Raw genomic sequence first — 20110 nt, 5'->3', positions numbered from 1 at the left:
AGAGTGCTATTTCTTTGCTGAGGGGGTAAAAAAAAAAAGCCATTGTGGAACATACTTTATAGTCACCCTTTAATGTGGATACATGACAAAAATATTTCTGCTACTCTTTACTCACATCGTGCCTCTGACCAGTGGTCCACTGTTTGGTCCTGTTTTTCAGAGACTCCCAGCTTTGGTGTCCTTAAGAAAGGGACTTACTGACTTCATGCATCTTTCAAGCAAAGATTAACAACAATGATAATAGAGTAATAAGTTGGCCTGGAATCTTGGCAAAACTGAAAACCACATGTTCTGAGAGTCTCTTCCTGCGCTGGTAATTAAGTTTCTTCCCCCTACAAAATGAGACTCTTTTGGACCAACAGGCGTTAGGCATGTGGACATCTTGATGGGATCCCATCTTCTCTTTTGAGGATCAAATCCTGGCCAACTTTGTTTGATGTTCAGAGCCCTGTATGGGAGTCAAAGCCTGCTAATAAAGCAGTCGTGCCTGTTTGGAGTCATTCTACAGCTCAGGACTTCATCCCAGGAGGGAGGTGTAGTGGGTGACTCACTAACTGTAATATAAACAACGACAACAAAAGGGTCTCTGAGTCACACTGACATTGTGGAATCAAACATATATCTCTGTGCCCTGACCCCCACCAAGGATGCAGTCACACGGATGTCCAGTTATCTTCTAATCAATGCCCAGTCCAGATGGTCACCACCCACCTCTGCAGCAAAAGTCACTGCGCATTTGGATATCTACACAGCTTGTTTGTAACTGAGTTAGTGCAGCCTAGTAAGGTACAGATGTTTTCCTTTTAATCCTGTTTGTACTTTGAAATGGTCACACTCGATGTCATTTGGCTGCAGGAAGCTCCTCCAGGAATGATCCCGCAAGAGAAATGGGATGTGCGTGGCACCATCTGATTCGGGGCAGCTCTGTCACTCCCTGCAGAACTGAGCACACTGAATTTATTTGAATAGAACAGGTTATGAGGGTGAGGATAAACATATCAATACCTCATTTTTTTTTTGAACGCCGACTCTATGATCGGATTACCTGGCCCTTCAAGGTAAGTTTATGACTGTGCTTAAAGGGCTTTGAGGTAACCACTTCTCCACCAGGATTTGCGAGGAGCCTTCCTGGCTTCCCGAGAGAAGTGGCTCGTCTTAGAATTCGAGAGCTCAGACTGACAGCAAACAGCCTGGATCTGCCAGTCTTCAGCTGCGTGACTCTGTGCAAATCGCTTTTCCTCTCTGGGCTGTTTCTCCATTGGTAAAAAAGGAGCACTTCTGAGGCTGGGCGCGGTGGCTCACGGCCTGTAATCCCAGCACTTTGGGAGGCCGACGTGGGCGGATCACTTGAGGTCAGGAGTTCGAGACAGGTTTGGCCAACATGGTGAAACCCCGTCTCTACTCAAAATACAAAAAAAATTAGCTGGGCGTGGTGGTGCATGTCTGTAGTCCCAGCTACTAGGGAGGCTGAGGCAGGAGAATAGCTGGAACTTGGGAGGCGGAGCTGAGATTGTGCCACTGCATTCCAGCCTGAGCAAGAAAGCGAGACTCCGTCTCAGGAAAAAAAAAAGGAGCACTTTTTGACCCATGTCATAGGGGTGTTGCAAAGATTGAGGGAGACATTGCCCAGGGTAGGCAGAGGACCTGAGTCAGCGGTACATGCTGTTACTGTTCTATTGCATTGGTGTGCCTTGGCCTTTTGTTCCTCACTTTAGGCCCTTGATCTTGAGCCAGTGCAATGGCAGAGCCTTGTCATGACACAAAGCATGTGTGTGTTTCTCCTCTGTCCACTAAAACGTCCATGTGGCTCCCTCCTTCAGAACAGGGAAGAAAGGCTGCTGTGAAATGTGACACTGTCCTGTTGCCTATGCCATTATGATGCTGTGGGGCAAACACTGGATCAGCTCCATAGGGTGAGGGCTGTCCATAAATAAACAGGACCTGGGGCATATCGGTTTGGGTGGGGCCAAAGCAGGTCCAGATTCAATAAGCCTGAATGAAGGGCCTGCTCCAGGCCGGGAAGTGGGTTAGTTCTATTCTCACGTGTGGTTTTATGTAATACTTGTAATAAAACTATAGTGCAGGGATCATTATGATCTTCATTTTAAAGAAGGAACTGGTCGGGTGTGGTGGCTCACGCTGAAATCCCAGTGCTTTGGGAGGCTGAGGTGGGAGGATTGCTTGAGCCCAGGAGTTCAAGATCAGCCTGGGCAACATAGCAAGACCCCATCTCTACCAAAAATAAAACAATTAGCCAGGCACGGTGATGTGTGCCTGTAGTCCCAGCTACTTGGGAGGCCAAGACAGGAGAATTGCTTAAGTCAGGGAGGTTCTGGCTACAGTGAGCCATGATTGCACCACTGTACTGCAGCCTGGGCAACAGAGCAAGACCCTGAAAAACGAAAGAAAGAAAGAAGGAAAGAAAGAAAAAAGAAAGAAAGAAAGAGAGAGACAGAGAGAGGAGGGAAGGAAGGAAAAGAAAGGAAGAAAGAAAGAGAAAGAAAACAAAGAAAAAGAGAAAGAGAGAGAGGAAGGAAGGAAGGAGAGAGAGGAGGGAAGGAAGGAAGGGAAATAAAGGAAGAAAGAAAGAAAGAAAGAAACAAAGAAAGAGAGAGAGGAAGGAAGGAAGGAAGGAAGGAAAAAAAAAGAAAAAGAAGAAGAAACTGAGCATTAGAGAAGCTAAAATTTCCTCAAGATCCCAAAGTTCCCTTCTGTGTACAGAAAAGTTCCAGGCCCAAGAGATCCTCTGAGGTGTGAAACTCTGTGTATCCACCTGCCTCACCTCCTTCAGCCCTGCCTTGTACCTCACCATAAGCCAAAGGAAACTGGGCCTTCTATTTTCTATTTTAATAGGGACTCTCTCCAACAGCCAGCAGTGCAACCAACAGAAAATCCCCCTCCAAAAAGCACTGACCTAGTGAGAGTCTTTACTAACAACTTCTTTCGGAAGACCTACAGCTGCAGAGGGCTGTCCTAAAAACCCACTTTTCACACCTCTCCCTTCAAAGCCCAAGTCCTTACGGGAGCCCCTCATCTCATTTCCTTGTCTCTCTTCATTAATCCTCAAATGCCACTCCCTTGCCCCCTCTTCTCCCTGAAGCCCACCTCCTCTCCTTCCGCAGGTGGAGACATGCAGCCAGCCCTGGCTTTCCAACCTTGTCCCCTCCACCCCTTGCCCAGGTCAGCATGGCAAAGGCCAGCACGGAGGGTGGCCAGAAGATTGTAGATATTGATGTTAATGTTTTAAAAATCTCATGCACACTACACTCTTGCAAAGCCGAGCTGGTTATCTGTTTCCTGCATAGGTGGCTGGGCTCCTGTGTGGGCCACTCAGGGTTTCTCCTCCAGGCCTTTCTCTGACTGTCATCTCTGTTCTCTGCTACCTCCCGCTCCTCCTCAGGCCCCAAGACTCTCCTCAGGCACTCAGGGAAGCCTTCCATGGCTTAAGGGCCCCTCACCTGGGTGATGGTCAGGGACCCCTTCTCTGGGCTCCTACATGCCTCTGATTCCAGCTCTATTTTTTTTTTTTTTTTTTTTTTTTTGAGAAGGAGCTTCGATCCCTTTGCCCAGCCTGGAGTGCAGTGGCGCGATCTCAGCTCACTGCAACCTCTGCCTCCCAGGTTCAAGCAATTCTCCCGCCTCAGCCTGCTGAGTAGCTGGGATTACAGATGCCCGCCACCATGCCTGGCTAATTTTTATATTTTAAGTAGAGACAGGGTTTCCCCATGTTCACCAGGCTGGTCTCGAACTCCTGACCTCAAGTGATCTGCCTGCCTTGGCTTCCCAAAGTGCTGGAATTACAGGCGTGAGCCACCGGGCCCAGCCTGATTCCAGCTCTCGCGTTGCACTTAATGCACAAAAATCATCACTGTTTGTTTCTAAATCCGTCTCCCACCATATTGCGAGTCTCCCACGGGGCCCACAGCAAGCTCTCGCAGATGACTGCTTCTGTTGACTTGTTCTCAGTGTGCCTTCAACAAATACGAATCTATTCTTCTCAATAACAAAAACTTAGGAGGTGGTGACACCAAGCAACGGGCGTGGATTCAGCAGCTGCATGGAGGCAGGTCCTTGTAGTGCCCCTCTCCACGCTGGAAGCTCCACCGCTCTGCGTGGCTCCTGCCACCGTCGCCAGAGCCTCTGCGTTCAAAGGAGGAAGGAGCGGGTGTGGGTGGTGGAGCCCGCTGGGACTGAACTTCTCCCAGGACACGACGGCGCTCCCAGATCCCAGCCTGCCTTAGGGCTCACCGCTCGTGGGTCTCAAGGCTTTTCCCCAGGAAGTGCTTGTTGAAGGAGCACCCTGATGTGACTTGTTTCTGTTTTTTATTGGAGTGAAATTCACATAACATTCAATTCACCATTTTAAAGTGAACCATTCAGTGGCAGTTAGTACATCCATGATGTTGTGCCACGCCTCTATCTAGCACCAAAGCATTTTCGTCACCCCAAAGAGAAACTCCTACCCCTTCATCAGTCGTTCCTCCTTTCGCCCCACCCCCGCCCCCTGACAATCACCAATCTGCTTTCTGTCTTCACGGATTTGCCCATTCTGGACATTTCATATAACAGGAATTGCACACGATGTGGCCTTTTGTGTCTGGCTTCTTTCACTTAGCATATTTTCTTTTCTTTCTTTCTTTCTTTTTTTCCTTTTTTTCTTTCTTTTTTTTTTTTTTTTTGAGATGGAGTCTCCCTCTGTTGCCCAGGCTGGAGTGCAGTGGGGCGATCTTGGCTCACTGCAACCTCCGCCTCCCAGGTTCACACAATTCCCTGCCTCAGCCTCCCAAGTAGCTGGGATTACAGATGTCTGCCATCATGCCTGGCTAATTTTTGTATTTTTAGTAGATACGGGGTTTCACCATCTTGGCCAAGCTGGTCTTGAAATTCTGACCTCATGATCCACCCGCCTCGGCCTCCCAAAGTGCTGGGATTACAGGTGTGAGCCACTGTGCCCGGCCTTAGCATGTTTTCTCTCTCTCTCTCTTTTTTTTTTTTTTTTTTTTTTTTAGGAGACAAGGTCTTGCTCTGTCACCCAGGCTGGAGTGCAATGGCACAATCATAGCTCAGTCCAGCCTCAACCTCCTGGGCTCCAGCGATCCTCCCACTTCAGCCTCCTGAGTAACTGGGACCACAGGCACACACCACCGCACCTAACTAATTTTTTTTAAAAACTTTTTGTAGAGGCAGGGTCTCGCTATGTTGCCAGGCTGGTCTCGAACTCCTGGTTTCAACTGATCCTCCCACCTCTCGGCCTCCCAAAGTGCTGGAATTACAGGCGTGAGCCACTGTGCCTGGCCACACTGAGCATGTTTTCAAGTTTCATCCATGTTGTAGCACGTATCAGCGCTTTATACCTCTTTATAGATGAATAATAGTCTATTATATGTATATGCCACATTTTGTTTTTCCATTCATCTGTGGATGGACACGTGAGGGGCTGTTTATGATGTGATTTAAACCCAGCCGTCCTGGCTCCAAGTTCCCCTTGCAGAATGCCGGGGCCCAGGCCTGGGGCAAAGAGATGCACAGAGGCAGCTGCGGGGGAGCCTCGTTGGTGGAGGAAGTGAGAACGCTCCTGGGAGGGAAGAGCCATGTGGCCCATGCCAGAAACCAGCTTTGCCTACTTTCCTCTGCTGCTAGGAGCATGTAAGCATCTGCCCTTCGGAACAGAACGTTCCGCATCCACTCGGCAACCGGGGAAAGTGGGAGCTGGTTTAACCTGGGCTCATTTGATCCAGGTCTGCCTTGGCTGGAGCCCAACCGAGAGCATTTCTCAGCACTTGTGTCATTTTATGTCGTTCTTATTAGTAATCAGATAGGATTCATGGCTGGTTGACTCTTTATTCTTGCCAGAGGCTGATAAATTGGCCAGCCTCAAGAATCATTCTTTAATAATTAAAAGCCTTTATGGTTTGCAGGAAGAAGCAAATTTGGGAGCACCCACCATGGATCTGTACAATAATCCCCCAAGCCAGTGCCCATGTCTACCATCGGGTGGGTGACTGTTCACCTTCTGCTTGGTCTCTGGGGTCTCCATACAACCACCCAAAGACACTGCTCTCTGCAGAGGTCAGGGCCTTTCAGACGTCCCCTAGTGCTTGAGTATAGACCAAATGGCCCAGGGAAACACACAGGGAAGCCCTCTGAGTAGGCTCAGCATCCAGGTGACTTGCATGAAGGTACCATTTCAGGCCCTTTTAATTTCCCACTCTGGGGGCACATGGGGTGTCTCTAGAGCAGGAAAGAAGACCTGACATATAACTCCCAGCCCCAGGGAAGGACTCTGTGCTCCTCAAGAAGGACCCAGGAAGGAAATGTCCAGCTATGGGCTGATGGCAAGTGAAAGGAATGACTGAACCATGTCCCATGAAGGCACCAAGTCAGTCAAGTGCAGTCCAAGCCCACTTCCTATTCTCAAGAGCAGAGATTTCACTGCAGAATGAGTCATCATAGAATCATGCTTAAGAGCTTTGGCTTTTGAGTCAAAAAGACCTGAGTTTGAATCCGGGCTCTGCCATTTACTAGCTGGGTGACCTTGGGTAAGTTGCTTAACCTCTCTGAGCCTCAGTTTCCTCATTGATATGGTTTGGCTGTGTCCCCACCCAAATCTCATCTTGAATTGTAGCTCCCATAATTCCCCCATGTTGTGGGAGGGACCTGGTGGGAGATAAATGAATCGTGGGGGTGGTTTCTCCAATACTGTTCTCATGGTAGTGAATAAGTCTCACAGGATCTGGTGGTTTTATAAAGGGAAACCCCTTTCACTTGCCTCTCATTCTCTCTTGCCTGCCACTATGTAAGACGTGCTTTCCACCTTCCACCATGATTGTGAGGCCTCCCCAGCCACATGGAACTGTGAGTCCATTAAACCTCTTTTTCTTTATAAATTACCAGTCTTGGGTATGTCTTCACCAGCAGCATGAAAAAGGATTAATACCCTCATATATGAAGCAAGAACAATGTCAGCCTCATGAGAAGTGACTAGAATAACCCACGTAAAGCACAGTGCTCGGCACGTGGTAAGAGCTCAGTGAACTGTAGCTGGTAACGTAACTCATGTCTCCTCAATTCCCCCACTTCATTTGCCCCTGAAGATTGAGACAGAGCTGTCAAGACCCTTACTTACTCTCCCACCTCCCCTAGTCCTATGCATTCCAATCCAACGTTTTACAGACTCAAGTCTAGCCAGGATGGATTTGTTAGGATGGCCTCTTTTTTGCCAGGATGGGCTGAGGATTATAAAGTGTGGTTAAGAGTTTCAAGGTCAAACCTAGTACTTCCTATGAAAATAAAAGATAGCAGTACATTACGTTGTCAAGTTAATACAGTATGATGGAGCATCTCCAGACTGCAGATCCTGGACGACTGTAAAAGTCTAACAGATTTAGGGAAACTGTACCTCAGGGAGCACATTAGACAGCACTCATCAATGGATCAAAACTGTCTTGGAGGCTCCCTTCCCAGGGAGCAGCAGAACCCCTGAAAATGATGGCTTTCCCTTCAACAACCTGGAGATAAATTGTACTTCATGTATTACATGTACATTCATGTACGAATGGGGTGCTTAGTGCGAGTGGAAAATGCACCTTATTTTACCCCAAATGAAAAAGTATATCCTTTTCATTTTACCCCAAATGAAAAAGTATATCCTTTGCAAGCCAAATTCTGTTTTCTTTTAGATGATTGCAAAATGTCGTACTACTCTATTAATTCCCTTAGTTCCATCTGCTGATTTCAGATATATTTGGACACATTTAGCTTCGTGCCCCTAATGGAGAAATGCTCTTAATTATTTCAAAGGATGTTTTGATGTATTGAGGTTTTAATCAGATATAAAATTGGCAGAGTGTGACGTTCGTACATATGCTCCCAGGAAGGCATCGTTTCAGTGAGCTTTTATCCTGGGAAGAAATGCCATTTTACAATGAAAATGTTAACAAGAATAACATAGCTGGACCATACAGAGGTTTTAAGAGTTACCAGGTGCAGTCATCAATTTATTTCCCTCATTTTGCGCACCTCTAAAGTTGGATATGCTTTTGCAGTCTGAGAATCACTGAGGAGCCATTGTTTCAATGAGCAGAGGTTTGGTGAGGAATAGCACTGTTGACAGATTTTTGTCCTCTCACTTCTCATGCACCCCTCACTTCTGTTACTTGGAATTTAATCTCCTCCATGGGGAGAACTGTTCCAATTGAGTAATTTAAATACCCCCAGTTACAAGGCAATGGATCATGGCACCCCCCAGGGACCAGGCTGTTAGTTGGATCATCCACTATAGCAGTCTCAACTCCTCAGGCTGGGAACAAGATGCCAGGGGTAGGGGTGGGGTAGGGAAGAGAGGCCTCACCCACTAAGTCACTCACTGGGTATTGTTTTTCTCTATCTGCATCATCTAATAGCTAAAATGGTTCTGTTTCACATCCCAGAATACACCCTTGTTTATGCATGCTATGCTACTGGTCAGAGTGGGTGAAGAATAGGCTTGGTAAGGAAGAATAGGAGTTATTACTCTAATTCTGTTGTCACATATGGAAAAGCAGGTGTTCCAGTCACTGCTGCCTAACAAATTACCCTTTAACTTAGCAGCTTTCAACAACATCCATTTATTCTATCTCACAATACAGTGGGCTTGATTTGAACAGGGCTCAGCTGGGTGATTCTTCTGCTCCATGTGGCTTTGACTGAAGCCACTCAGTTTTACTCAGCTCCCAGATGAACCAATACAGAGGTTCCAAGAAGGGGTTTCTCACTTATCTGGGGCTTTGGTGAGTCCAGCTGAAAGATGAGGACTATTGAAAAGAACACCTACATGGGGCCCCTCAAGCTTGATGGTGTCAGGGTGGTCAGATATCTTTCATGGTAGCTCAGGGCTTCCAGAGAGAGTGCTCCAAGAGACCCAAGCAGAAGCTGGACAGCTTCTTATGTCCTAGCTTCAGAAGTTCTACACATCACTTCTCCCATAAGTGATTTGCCAAAGCAGTGATAGGCCAGCCCAGATTAAAGGGAAAGGAAAATAGACCCCATCTCTTGATGGAAGGATTGTCAAAGAATGAGCAGTCATCTTTAATCCACCACAGCAGCTAAGAACACTTGTAGTGTGCTGGTGGTGGTGGTTTGGAGACTGAATGTGACTGTTTGAGGCACAGTATTAAACTGTCTATAGAAAGAAGATGAACAAATGTGCATGTTCAACTAACCAAGAGCAACTTAAGACAGCACTAAGCTTTTTACAAAATAAATTTGACTTAACCTTTTCTTCATCTTCCATTTCCAATAATCACTAATTTTTGTTGACTTTACCTTTTAAGTATTGTGTAAATTTCTACTTCTTTCCATTGCCACCATCTCTCCCATTACCATCAACACCACCAACATCACTACCACCGCAATCACCATCACCACTATCCATCATCACCACCACTATTACCACCATTATCATCACCATCACTACTACCATTACCACCACCATCATTATCACCATCACCACCATCACTACCACAACCACCAACACTACCACAACCACCGTTACCACCACAATTACTACTATCACCATCGCTACCATTACCACCATCATCACCATCATTACCACGAGTACCATCACCCCTACCACCATCATCTCCACCACCATTACCACAATCACCACCATAACCATCACCATCACCACCATACCAGTATCACCACTCTTCCACAATCAACCCACCACCACCTCCACCATCATCATCACCATCACCACTACCACCACCATCACTACTACCATTACCACCGCTACCACAACCATGACATTTGTTCAAGCTACCCCCATTTCACCTAAAGTAGCCTCATGACTTCTGGCTGCACCCATGCTGATCCCTTCCAGTCCAATTGCTCCACTGCAGACAGAGAGATTACTTCCAAGTCTGATCATGTCATCAAGCCTGTGTAAAACTCTTCAATAGCTTTCCAGTGCTTTGAAAAATGAAAGCCAAACTATCATAGTGCACAAGGCCCAGCCTACCCCTCTAGCTTCACACACACACTTATTCAAGATGAGCTTTTAAACTAAAATTCCAAAGCACATCTTACAGGGAAATGATTCATCCCTGCCACGGATCTCCCGGGCATCTTATTAAAACGCAAGTTCTGATTCAGGATGGCTGGGGAGGGCCTTGGAGTCCAAATCTATCCCAAGCTCTGGAGGACACCAAAGCTGCTGGCCTGGGGTCCACACTTGGCACAATCAGACAGCAAACATATAGCCAAAAGCATGGAGTTGATCAAATCATTAGTAAAACAAAGCAATTGCTTGGAAACGGCAGTAGTTCCTACAAATGTGAAACATTGACGTTATCCCTGTTTAGGTTAAAAACTTAATTTTCATCCAAAGGGACACATTTGACACCCATTTCTTTCTTTTTTTTTTTTTTTTTTTTTGTTTTCAGACGGAGTCTCACTCTGTTGCCCAGGCTGGAGCACAGTGGTGGATCTCGGCTCACTGTAAGCTCCGCCTCCCGGGTTCACGCCATTCTCCTGCCTCAGCCTCCCGAGTAGCTTGGACTACAGGTGCCCGCCACCAAGCCTGGCTAATTTTGCTTTTGTATTTTTAGTAGAGATGGGGTTTCACCGTGTTAGCCAGGATGGTCTTGATCTCCTGACCTCGTGATCTGCCTACCTTGGCCTCCCAAAGTGCTGGGATTACAGGCGTGAGCCACCACACCCAGCCCTTTGACACCCATTTCTAAGGGGCCAACCTGAGGCCTGCAGGCCTTAGGGCCCACCTTGCTGCCAGGTGTCAGGTACCCCACTGCCCAGCCCACCTGGGTGCCAGAGACACCAGAGGTGGTTGTCCACCACCTCTTTCTTCAGGGGCAGGGGTGGGAGGACTGGGCTCTGTGCTTGCAGTTCCCTCTGATGGCTGTTACATCTGTAGCTCCAGGTGTGACACTGCGGCCACCTCCAAACCCTGTGAGTCTGCGTTTGAAGACGGGCAGGAGGCACCATCCCTTGCTCCTGCCTTCTCCTCTTGCCTTCTCCTCTTGCCACCCCTGCCGCTCCCTCCCCCTCCATTGCCCTCCCTCCCTCTCCCGAATTTGACTGAAGCCCATCTCTGTGTTGGCCGCACACCAGCAAAAGTATGTGAGCTGTCAATTTGCAAAGTCCTAGTCCTAAACTCAGACAGAATGTGGGATTCAACTTCAGGGTTACCTGCAGCGGTTCTCTTTAGTACTGAGAGATCAAAATAGCTGTCGGTAGGGAAATATCTAACTTCGCTTGACATGACGTGCAGGCCGGAACAAAGGCGACTTCCTCTCCATCCAGCTCTCATAACCCTGATCAGCGAACGTGCTCCCCAAAATCACACAGTGGCTCAGCAAAAAGGGAATCTGTATCCATACCCATAAAGATGTTTTGATTCTTGGTGCTGATAGCTAGCACACAACCTGAAGCACAGCCCTGAGACCGCGTGGTTCCCTGATCTTTGCTGCAATTTGGTGCTCTCAATGCAGAGAAAGAGTTTTTGTTGTGTGTTTTCCTCTGTGTGTGCATTGTTTTAATGTCCCAGGCAGGCCATGAGGGAATGATGGTCCTGAGACTGAGTGTAACGGAGGAAATGTGGGAGAAATATGGGGTGCTGTGCCTCAGATTGGAAACGCAGAGGTAATCAGCAGTCAGCTGCAAGTTTGATTGGGAGCTGCCAAGAATTGCTCCCCCGGATAGCTGTCTCTCTTGTGAGATGCTGATATACAGGGTCTGTTTGGCGTTGCCAGTGGCTTTGTGGACAACCCTGTTATAAGCCCTCCACAAATATCCAGTTATTTGGCTGTTGTTATGGGAGCGGTACAATTACGGCCAAATTGAGGTAGTGACGGGGGACACAAAAGCAAGTGGGTTGGGGGTGAGCAAAATTGCTATTTTCATCAAAACATATCTTGGCTGATCACCTGGACTGAATGAGAACAATCAGGACAAACAGGTAGCAGGAACCCTGCGTGGCTCCAGGGATTACAGACCCGACTTTATGCTGGAGAAACAAAATTGCCTTTAAGAGAGAGAGAGAGAAAAAAAAATCACATCCTCTTATTCTCTTTGTGATTTTACAAAAATACTATAATTCTGCCTCAGAGCAGGAAGTTCAATGTTGTTCAAAGATTCTTTGTTGCCTCTTTACTTTTGTTACCTAATACATGCCCAAAATATGTAATTTTGCAATTTAAGGTTTTTGATTGAAAAATCTAAAGTTATCAGTAAATTACCTTCCAAATGGATTGCTATCATTATCCAGACTTAATATAGTTATTGAGCAAATGCCTGCATACAAGCTAATTAAGATAGTCACCAAAACACCAAAGCCATCCAGGCTCCCTGAAACTGAGCTTCACGTTCAAAGCGGTGGGTGGGAAGAGAAGGTTACTTCCCATAAAAATGGCATCATGAGTTCACACAAAACTTTCCTCATTCCATCTCCAAAATCATAGAAATAATGAATAAAATATAAAAACATATTATAAGACTTAACTGTTCTTTAAAAATATGCAGATTCTTTGAGAGTTAAATCCTGCAAGGTAGTGGGGGACAGAATTGTCTCCATATAATCCAGGATTGAGTCCAGTCTGGGGAAACTGTTTCCACCCATAAATAGAACATTGCAGCAGTGGCCCAGGGCAGTTTCCTAAGGCAGCAGGAATGAGCTGAGCTGGGGCCAAATCATACCCTACCCCTGTCCCTTGGGACAAAAAGCCTAAGCCTCCAATATAAGGCCTAGTTACTCAGGAATCCAGTGAGCTAGATGGAGACAACTGAAAAACTGCTGGTCAGAGAGGAGTGATCCTAGGAAGGGGACGCACATGCATGTACATGCACACACACACACACACACATGCACACACACACGTACACCCACACACATATGCATATAAACACACACGTACACACACACATGTACACATACACATATGCATATACAGACATATGTACACACACACATATGCATATACACACATACACACACACACACAACTTCTATTCAAGATAAGCTCTCAAACTAAAATCCAAAGCACACCTTGTAGAAGATGATCAACAAACTCATGGCTACCAAGGACATGCAAATGTTAGAGCAGCCATAAAAGGACTTTAAATAGGGCCAGGTGCAGTGGCTCACACCTGTAATCCCAACACTTTGGGAGGCTGAGGTGGGCGGATCACCTGAGGTCAGGAGTTCGAGACCAGCCTGGCTAACATGGCGAAAGCTCATCTCTACTACAAATACAAAAGTTAGCTAGGTGTAGTGGCGCATGCCTGTAATCTCAGCTACCCGGGTGGCTGAGGCAGGAGAATTGTTGGAACCCAGGAGGCGGAGGCTGCTGTGAGCTGAGATTGCGCCACTGCACTCCAGCGCGAGCAACAGAGCGAGACTCTGTCTCAAACACACACACACACACACACACACACACACACCAAAAAAAACGAAAGAAGGACTTTAAGTAGGTGTAAGTATAATCCTCAGAGATAAAGGAGAAAATAACACCCATAGAATGAGACCAAGATAATGAACAAAAGCTTGGCAGGTAAGAGTGAATTAAAAAGAAAGATTTTTTTTTTAAATTTAAAATCCTAGAAATAGGAACTTCCACGTATGGGAAGATGACATAGATGTACTTTCCCTAAAAGCCCTGGACGTTCTGTATAAAACAAACAGAAAGACACTGAGAGATGGAGAGAAGAAGGCAGACGTTCTAGGGACCTCAGAACCAAGAAATGACAAAGTAGTGAGTTCTTTAAGTTTTCCTTTTGTGTCTCATATCCCGGATTGGGTGTGGGAAAACATGGCAAGCTGGAAACACCAACAGGCAAAGACAAAGGTAAACCAAAGCGCCAAGGAAAATCCGCTTTTTCTTGCCGGAGGATCGGGAAAGAGGCAGCCTGGCAAGATGAAAGAATTTTAGACAGTAACCACTCCACACCAGAAAAGCACCACAGAAACAAGCATGGCCCCACTCACGCTCCCACCAGCAAAGGCTGAGTGCGAAGCCAGAACTTGCACTCCAGCCTAGTGGTAATAAAGCCCAACTCAGCAGTGTCATTGGAGACCATGTGGGGAGCTTGGACTTCCACTCATGCCTGGTAGGATGACGTGCCCGTCCACCCCACTGCTGCGCTGGTATCAGAAGAGACAAGTGGAAAAATCGAAATATTCACCACCATCCAGTGGTTCAAAGCCACCTTCATGCCATGAAAGTGGACATCGCATGAAAGGGAGTAAGGAAGTCCCCATGTGCCTGTCAGCCAGTTTGTTGTCAACAGAGGCCTGGTGGAGAAGCTGAGGCCACACCCTCAGCCAGCAGCAATGAAGAGCACCTGTCCCTCTGGTGTCCTTGGAGGCCACTTGGGAAAACCCCACCTGGAAGTAACAAGGGAGCATCCCCTTTGTTAGCTAAATAAGTGTCAGCAAAGGTCTACTTAAAACAGAAGACTTAAATAAAATCCAGAGTCTCATAATATCCCAAATGTCCATTTTCAATCAAATATAACTCATCGTTTCAAGAACCAGAAAAATAGCCACTTGAATGAGAAAAGAGCATTGACAGACACTAGAGTGGGTTAAATAGCATCCTCCCAAAATTCACGTCCGCTGGAACCTCAGCATGTTATTTTACTTGGAAACAAGGTATTGGCAGATATAATTAGTTAAGGATCTCAAGGTGAAATCACCCTGGATTTAGGGTGGATCCTAAATTCAATCAATAGTGTCTCTATAAGAAGAAGAGACAGAGAAGAAGGCCACGTGAAGATGGAAGCTGAGACTGGAGTGATGCATTTACAAGCCACAGATGCCAGCAGCCACCAGAAGTTAGGAAAGCTGGAAGGGACGGTTTCTTCCTCAGGGCCTCCAGAAGGAACCAACTCTGCCGACACCCTGATCATAGGCTCCTGGCCTCTAGAACACTGAGACAATAAATTTCTGTTGTTTTATGTCTACCAGTTTGTGGTAATTGTTACAGCAGCCCTAGCAAACGAAGACAGATGTCAGCATTGAGATGACACAGATGTTAGAATTATCTGACAACGATTTTAACACACACGTTATAAAATGCTTCAACAAGCAGTGATGAACACACTTGAAATGCAGGCAAATGCAGAAAGTCTCAGCACTGAAATAGAAGGCATAAGCAAAGAATCAAACGGAAATTTTAAAGCTGGAAAATTCAACCACTGATATGGTTTGGCTGTGTCCCCACCCAAATCTCATCTTGAATTGTAGTTCCCGTAATCCCCACACATTGTGGGAGGCACCCGGTGAGAGGTAATTTAATCATGGGGCAGATACCCTTATGCTGTTCTCGTAATAGTGAGTAAGCTCTCATGAGATCTGATAGTTTTATAAGTGGCTTCTCCCCCTTCCACTCTGCACTTCTTGCTGCTGCCATGTGAAGAAGGACATGATTGCTTCCCCTTCTGCCATGATTGTAAGTTTCCTGAGGCTTCCCCAGCCATGCTGAACTGTGAGTCAATTAAATCTCTTTCCTTTATAAATTACCTAGAGTATGTCTTTATTAGCAGTGTGAGAACAAACTAATACAACCACCAAAATTAAACCTGAATGGATGGGCTTAACAGCAGAATGGAGAAGACAGAGGAAAGAATTAGTAAATGTGAAGATACAACAATAGAAATTACCCAATCTGAGCAACAGAGAAAATACGCTGAAGAAAAGAGAAGAAAAAAAGGACAGAGCTTTAAAACTCTGTAGAACTACTACAAAAGATCTAACATTTATGTCATTGGAGTCCAAGAAGGAGAGGAGACAGTGGGTGGGGCTAAAAAATGTTCACAGGAATAATGGCTGAAAAATCCTCAAATTTGACAAAAGACATAAATTTGCAGATTTCAGAAGCTAAGTAAACCCCAAATAGGATAAACTGAAAGCAATCCATACCATAGTCAAGTTGATAAAAACTCTTTGGTTTAAAAAGAAAATAGTAAATATCTTGACAGCAGTAAGAGAGAAATTAGACCTTACCTACAAAAGAGAAACAATTCATCTAACAATGGATTTCTCATCAGAGGCCGGAAGGAAGTGGCACATTTTAAAGCACTGAAATAAAAAACAAACCTATCCATCTACAATTCTGTATCCAGCAAAAATATCTTTCAGAAATGAAGGGGAAATCAAGACATTTTTGAATGAAGAGAAGCTAAGAGAATTTGTCAGCAGTAGACCTATGCTAAAAAAATGGCCAGTGGAATTTCCCTAAATGATAAAATAAGAAATCTTGGAACATCAGGAAAGAAGAAAGAACACAATAGACTTCTTCTCTTCTTGAGTTTTCTAAATTATATTTGATGGTTGAAACAAAAATTATAACTCTGATGTGATTCTCAATGTATGTAGACACAATTATATCATAAAAGGAGGAGGATAAAGGGACAAAAAGAGAAGTAAGATTTCTTCTTCTTCTTCTTCTTTTTTTTTTTTTTTTTTTTTGAGACAGGGCCTTGCTCTGTCACCCAGGCTGGAGTGTAGTGGGGTGATCTTGGCTCGCTGCAACCTCCACCTCTCAGGTTCAAGTGATTCTTGTGCTTCAGCTTCCCAAGTAGCTGGGATTACAGGTGTGTGCCACCATGCCTGGCTAATTTTTGTATTTTTTAGTAGAAACAGGGTTTTGCCATGTTGGCCGGGCTGGTCTCAAAACACTGGCCTCAAGTGATCTGCCTGTCTTGTCCTCCCAAAGTGCTGGGATTACAGGCATGAACCACCATGCCCAGCTGAGAAGTAAGCTTTCTACATTTCACTTGATCTTCTAAAATATCGACACCAGTAGACTGAAATGTTATGTATGTACAATATAATACCTAGAACAATAACTAATAAATCTATAAAGATACATTGAAAAGCACTATAAATAAATCAAAATGAAATTTTTTAAATGACCAAGTAACCACAAGAAGGCAGGAATAAGAAAACAGAAATGAAAAACAGGAAACAGACTTTCAGTTTTAGCTCTGACACATAAAGAGCCTGGAAGTTTTCACCTCCATCCTTACAACAAGAAAAAAAGCTGAAAAAACTGAAAATCAACAACTCTTCTTAGATCTGTAATAGAATTAAGGTCACGCCTCAGAATGCTGCTTTGGCATTTGGAAACACAGGTGAATATGATAAATCACAGCCTATGGGGAGCAGAAGCTTCTGGAGCCAGTAACTGGTAGGAACGCTTAAAATGTAATTGAGTAATTGATGCACACTGAACATGGTATAACTGGGGAGTTACAAACTCCTGGGGTCCCAGTCTTAGGAACCCCTATACTTTTATGGGTTTTACATCCAGGAGACTCCCCAGGTTCTCCCAGCGAAGACAGGAGAAACATCTCTTTCTTCAGGCAGGAGGAAGCAAAAAGTAATTATTTAAAAATATACCCAGGCTAGGCATGGTGGCTCATGTCTGTAATCCCAGCACTTTATATATATACATACCCAGAGTATTCTATTCTCAGCAACAAAGTCCTACTCTCAAGGAAAACTTCCAGAATCTGTTCTGGAATCTAGGCAGGGGCAATTAGATACCTGCAGCCAACTCTAGCTCCCTGCCTACATAAGCAGAGAAAAAAAAAAAAAAAAGCCTGAGAGGCTCTTCTGAAGGTCACAGCACAGGGCCTCAGGCTCACTAAAAAAAAAAAAAAAAAAAAAAAAAAACAACTCTGATTTTTTTAATTATTATTTTTTTATTTCAATGTTTTTAGTTTTTGGGATACAGGTGGTTTTTTATTACATGGATGAGTTCTATAGTGGCAGCTTCTGATATTTTAGTGCACCTGTCACTCAAGCAGTGTACGCTGTACCCAATATGTAGTCTTTCATCATTCACCTCTCCTCCCAACCTCTCCCCCGACCAAGGTCTATTATGTGACTCTGTATGTCTTTGCATCCTCATAACTTAGCTCCCATTTATAAGTGAGAATATGAAATACGGTTTTCCATTTCTGGGTTGCTTCATTTAGAATAATGGCCTCTAGCTCTACCCAAATTGCTGCAAAAGACATTATTTCATTCCTCTTTATGGCTAATATTCCATGGTGTATATGTACCACATTTTCTTTATCCACTCATTGATCAGTGGGCACTTAGATTGGTTTCATATCTTTGCAATTGTGAATGTGCTGCTATAAACATGTGTGTGCTTGTGTCTTTTTCTTATAGTGACTTCTTCTCCTTTGAGTAGATACCCAGTGGGATTGCTGGATTGAATGGTAGATCTACATTTAGTTCTTTAAGGAATCTCCATACTGTTTTCCACAGTGGTTGTACTAATTTACATGACCACCTGCAGTGTAAAATTGTTCCCTTTTCACCACATTCATGACAACATCTATTGGTTTTTGACTTTTTAATTATGGCCATTCTTGTAAGAGTAAGGTGGTATCTCACTGTGGTTTTAATTTTCATTTTCCTGATGATTAGTGATGCTGAGCATTTTCTCATATGTTTGTTGGCTGTTTGCATATCTTCTTTTGAGAAATGTCTATTCATGACATTTACCCACTTTTTGATGGGATTATTTGTTTTTTCTTGCTGAATTGTTCAAGTACTTTGTAGATTCTAAATACTAGTCCTTTGTTAAATTCATGTTTGTGAATATTCTCTCTTACTCTGTGGGTTATCTGTTGTGCTGACTATAGCTTTTGCTGTGCAGAAGATTTTTTAGCTTCATTATGTTCCATTTATTTGTTTTTGTTTGTTTGTTTTAGTTGCATTTGCTTTTGGGGCTCAGTCATGAATTCTTTGCCTAGACCAATGTCCAAAAGACTTTTTCCAGTGTTATCTTCTAGAGTTGTTATGGTTTCAGGCCTTATATTTCAGTCTTTCATCCATTCTGAGTTGATTTTTGTGTAAGGTAATAGATGGGGATCCATTTTCATTCTTCTACATGTGGCTTGCCAATTTTCCCAGCAGCATTTATTGAATAGGTAGTGTCCTTTCCCCAATTTATGTTTTTGTATGCTTTGTTGAAGATCAGTTCCCTGTAAGCATTTGGCTTTATTTATGAATTCTCTAACCTGTTCCTTTTGTCTGAGTGCCTATTTTTATACCACTACCATGCTGTTTTGGTAACTATAGCCTTGTAGTATAATTTGAATCCTGGTAATGTGATGCCTCCGGATTTGTTCTTTTTGCTTAGAATTTATTTGGCTATGTGGTCTTGTTTTTTGTTCCATATGAATTTTGGGATTGTTTTTTCCAGTTCTGTGAAAAATGATGATGGTATTTTGATGGGAACCGCATTGATTCTGTAGATTGCTTTGGGTAGTATGGTCATTTTCACAATATTGATTCTTCCCATCCATGAGCATGGGATGTGTTTCCATTTGTTTGTGTTATCTATTATTTCTTTCAGCAGTGTTTTGCTTTAAAAAAAAAAAAACTCTAAGATTTAATCATAAGATTATAGACTGTCTTCCCTCCTCAGTATCTTACCACAACATCAACAGGGTTCCAGGATAATAATAATGGATTACAACTGATACAGCTTCAAGACACAGACTCTATTTAAAAATAATCTTTCTAGGGAAACACAAAGACAACAGGAGAGAAAAAAACAAGGAAGCCTCTGACACCTATAGCTACAGCTATAGCAAACATTAAACACAGCCTAACTCCCATCCAGATAAGCATAAAACCTCAAATTAAAGGCCTATTTACCTCAGTTCCTATTACCTAATACATCTTATTTGACTTTCAACAAAAAATTGCAGGCATGCTAAAAAGCACAATAAAACACAGTCTGAAGAGACAAAGCAAGCATCAGAACCAGACTCATAGACATTGAAATCGTCAAGCTGGGCATTTAATATAACTACAATTAGTATGCTAAAGGATTTAATGGAAAAAAGCGAACGACAGGCAACAACACATGGTAATTGGAAACAGAGATAGGAACATGCTAATATAGAATCTAAAAGAAATGCTAGAAATTAAAAACATTGTGTCAGAAAGAAATAATTTTTTAATGGGTTCATCAGTAAACTGGATTTGGCTATGAAAATAATCAGCAAGCTTGAAAAAATGTCAAGAGAAATTTCCCAAACTGGAATGTGAAGAGAAAACAGGAGAATGAAAAAAAAAAAGAGCAGAATG

At 44.2% G+C, this 20110-nt stretch overlaps 1 long non-coding RNA gene across 1 annotated transcript in view, besides 1 other annotated feature; it reads left to right on the top strand.

The window, feature by feature from the left end:
* SDK1-AS1 (SDK1 antisense RNA 1) overlaps positions 1-1580 on the top strand; it is a 108539-nt gene extending 106959 nt beyond the window's left edge. Inside the window, exon 3 of the long non-coding RNA XR_001744897.3 lies at positions 161-1580. This is a non-coding gene — a long non-coding RNA (SDK1 antisense RNA 1). The remainder of the gene's footprint in view (positions 1-160) is intronic.
* Positions 35-1234: an enhancer, noted in NCBI's record as "BRD4-independent group 4 enhancer chr7:3283525-3284724 (GRCh37/hg19 assembly coordinates)". NCBI's record gives its function as "activates an origin of replication core promoter dependent on BRD2, P300/CBP, MED14 and CDK7 cofactors, and independent of BRD4, by STARR-seq in HCT116 cells {active_cell/tissue: HCT116}" and the evidence as "EXISTENCE:reporter gene assay evidence [ECO:0000049][PMID:35650434]".
* Positions 1581-20110: the final 18530 nt, after the last annotated feature.

The sequence above is a fragment of the Homo sapiens genome, chromosome 7 (genome assembly GCF_000001405.40).
Source record: "Homo sapiens chromosome 7, GRCh38.p14 Primary Assembly".
Lineage (NCBI taxonomy): Eukaryota > Metazoa > Chordata > Mammalia > Primates > Hominidae > Homo > Homo sapiens.
This window is presented reverse-complemented; position numbering and strand designations above follow the sequence as displayed.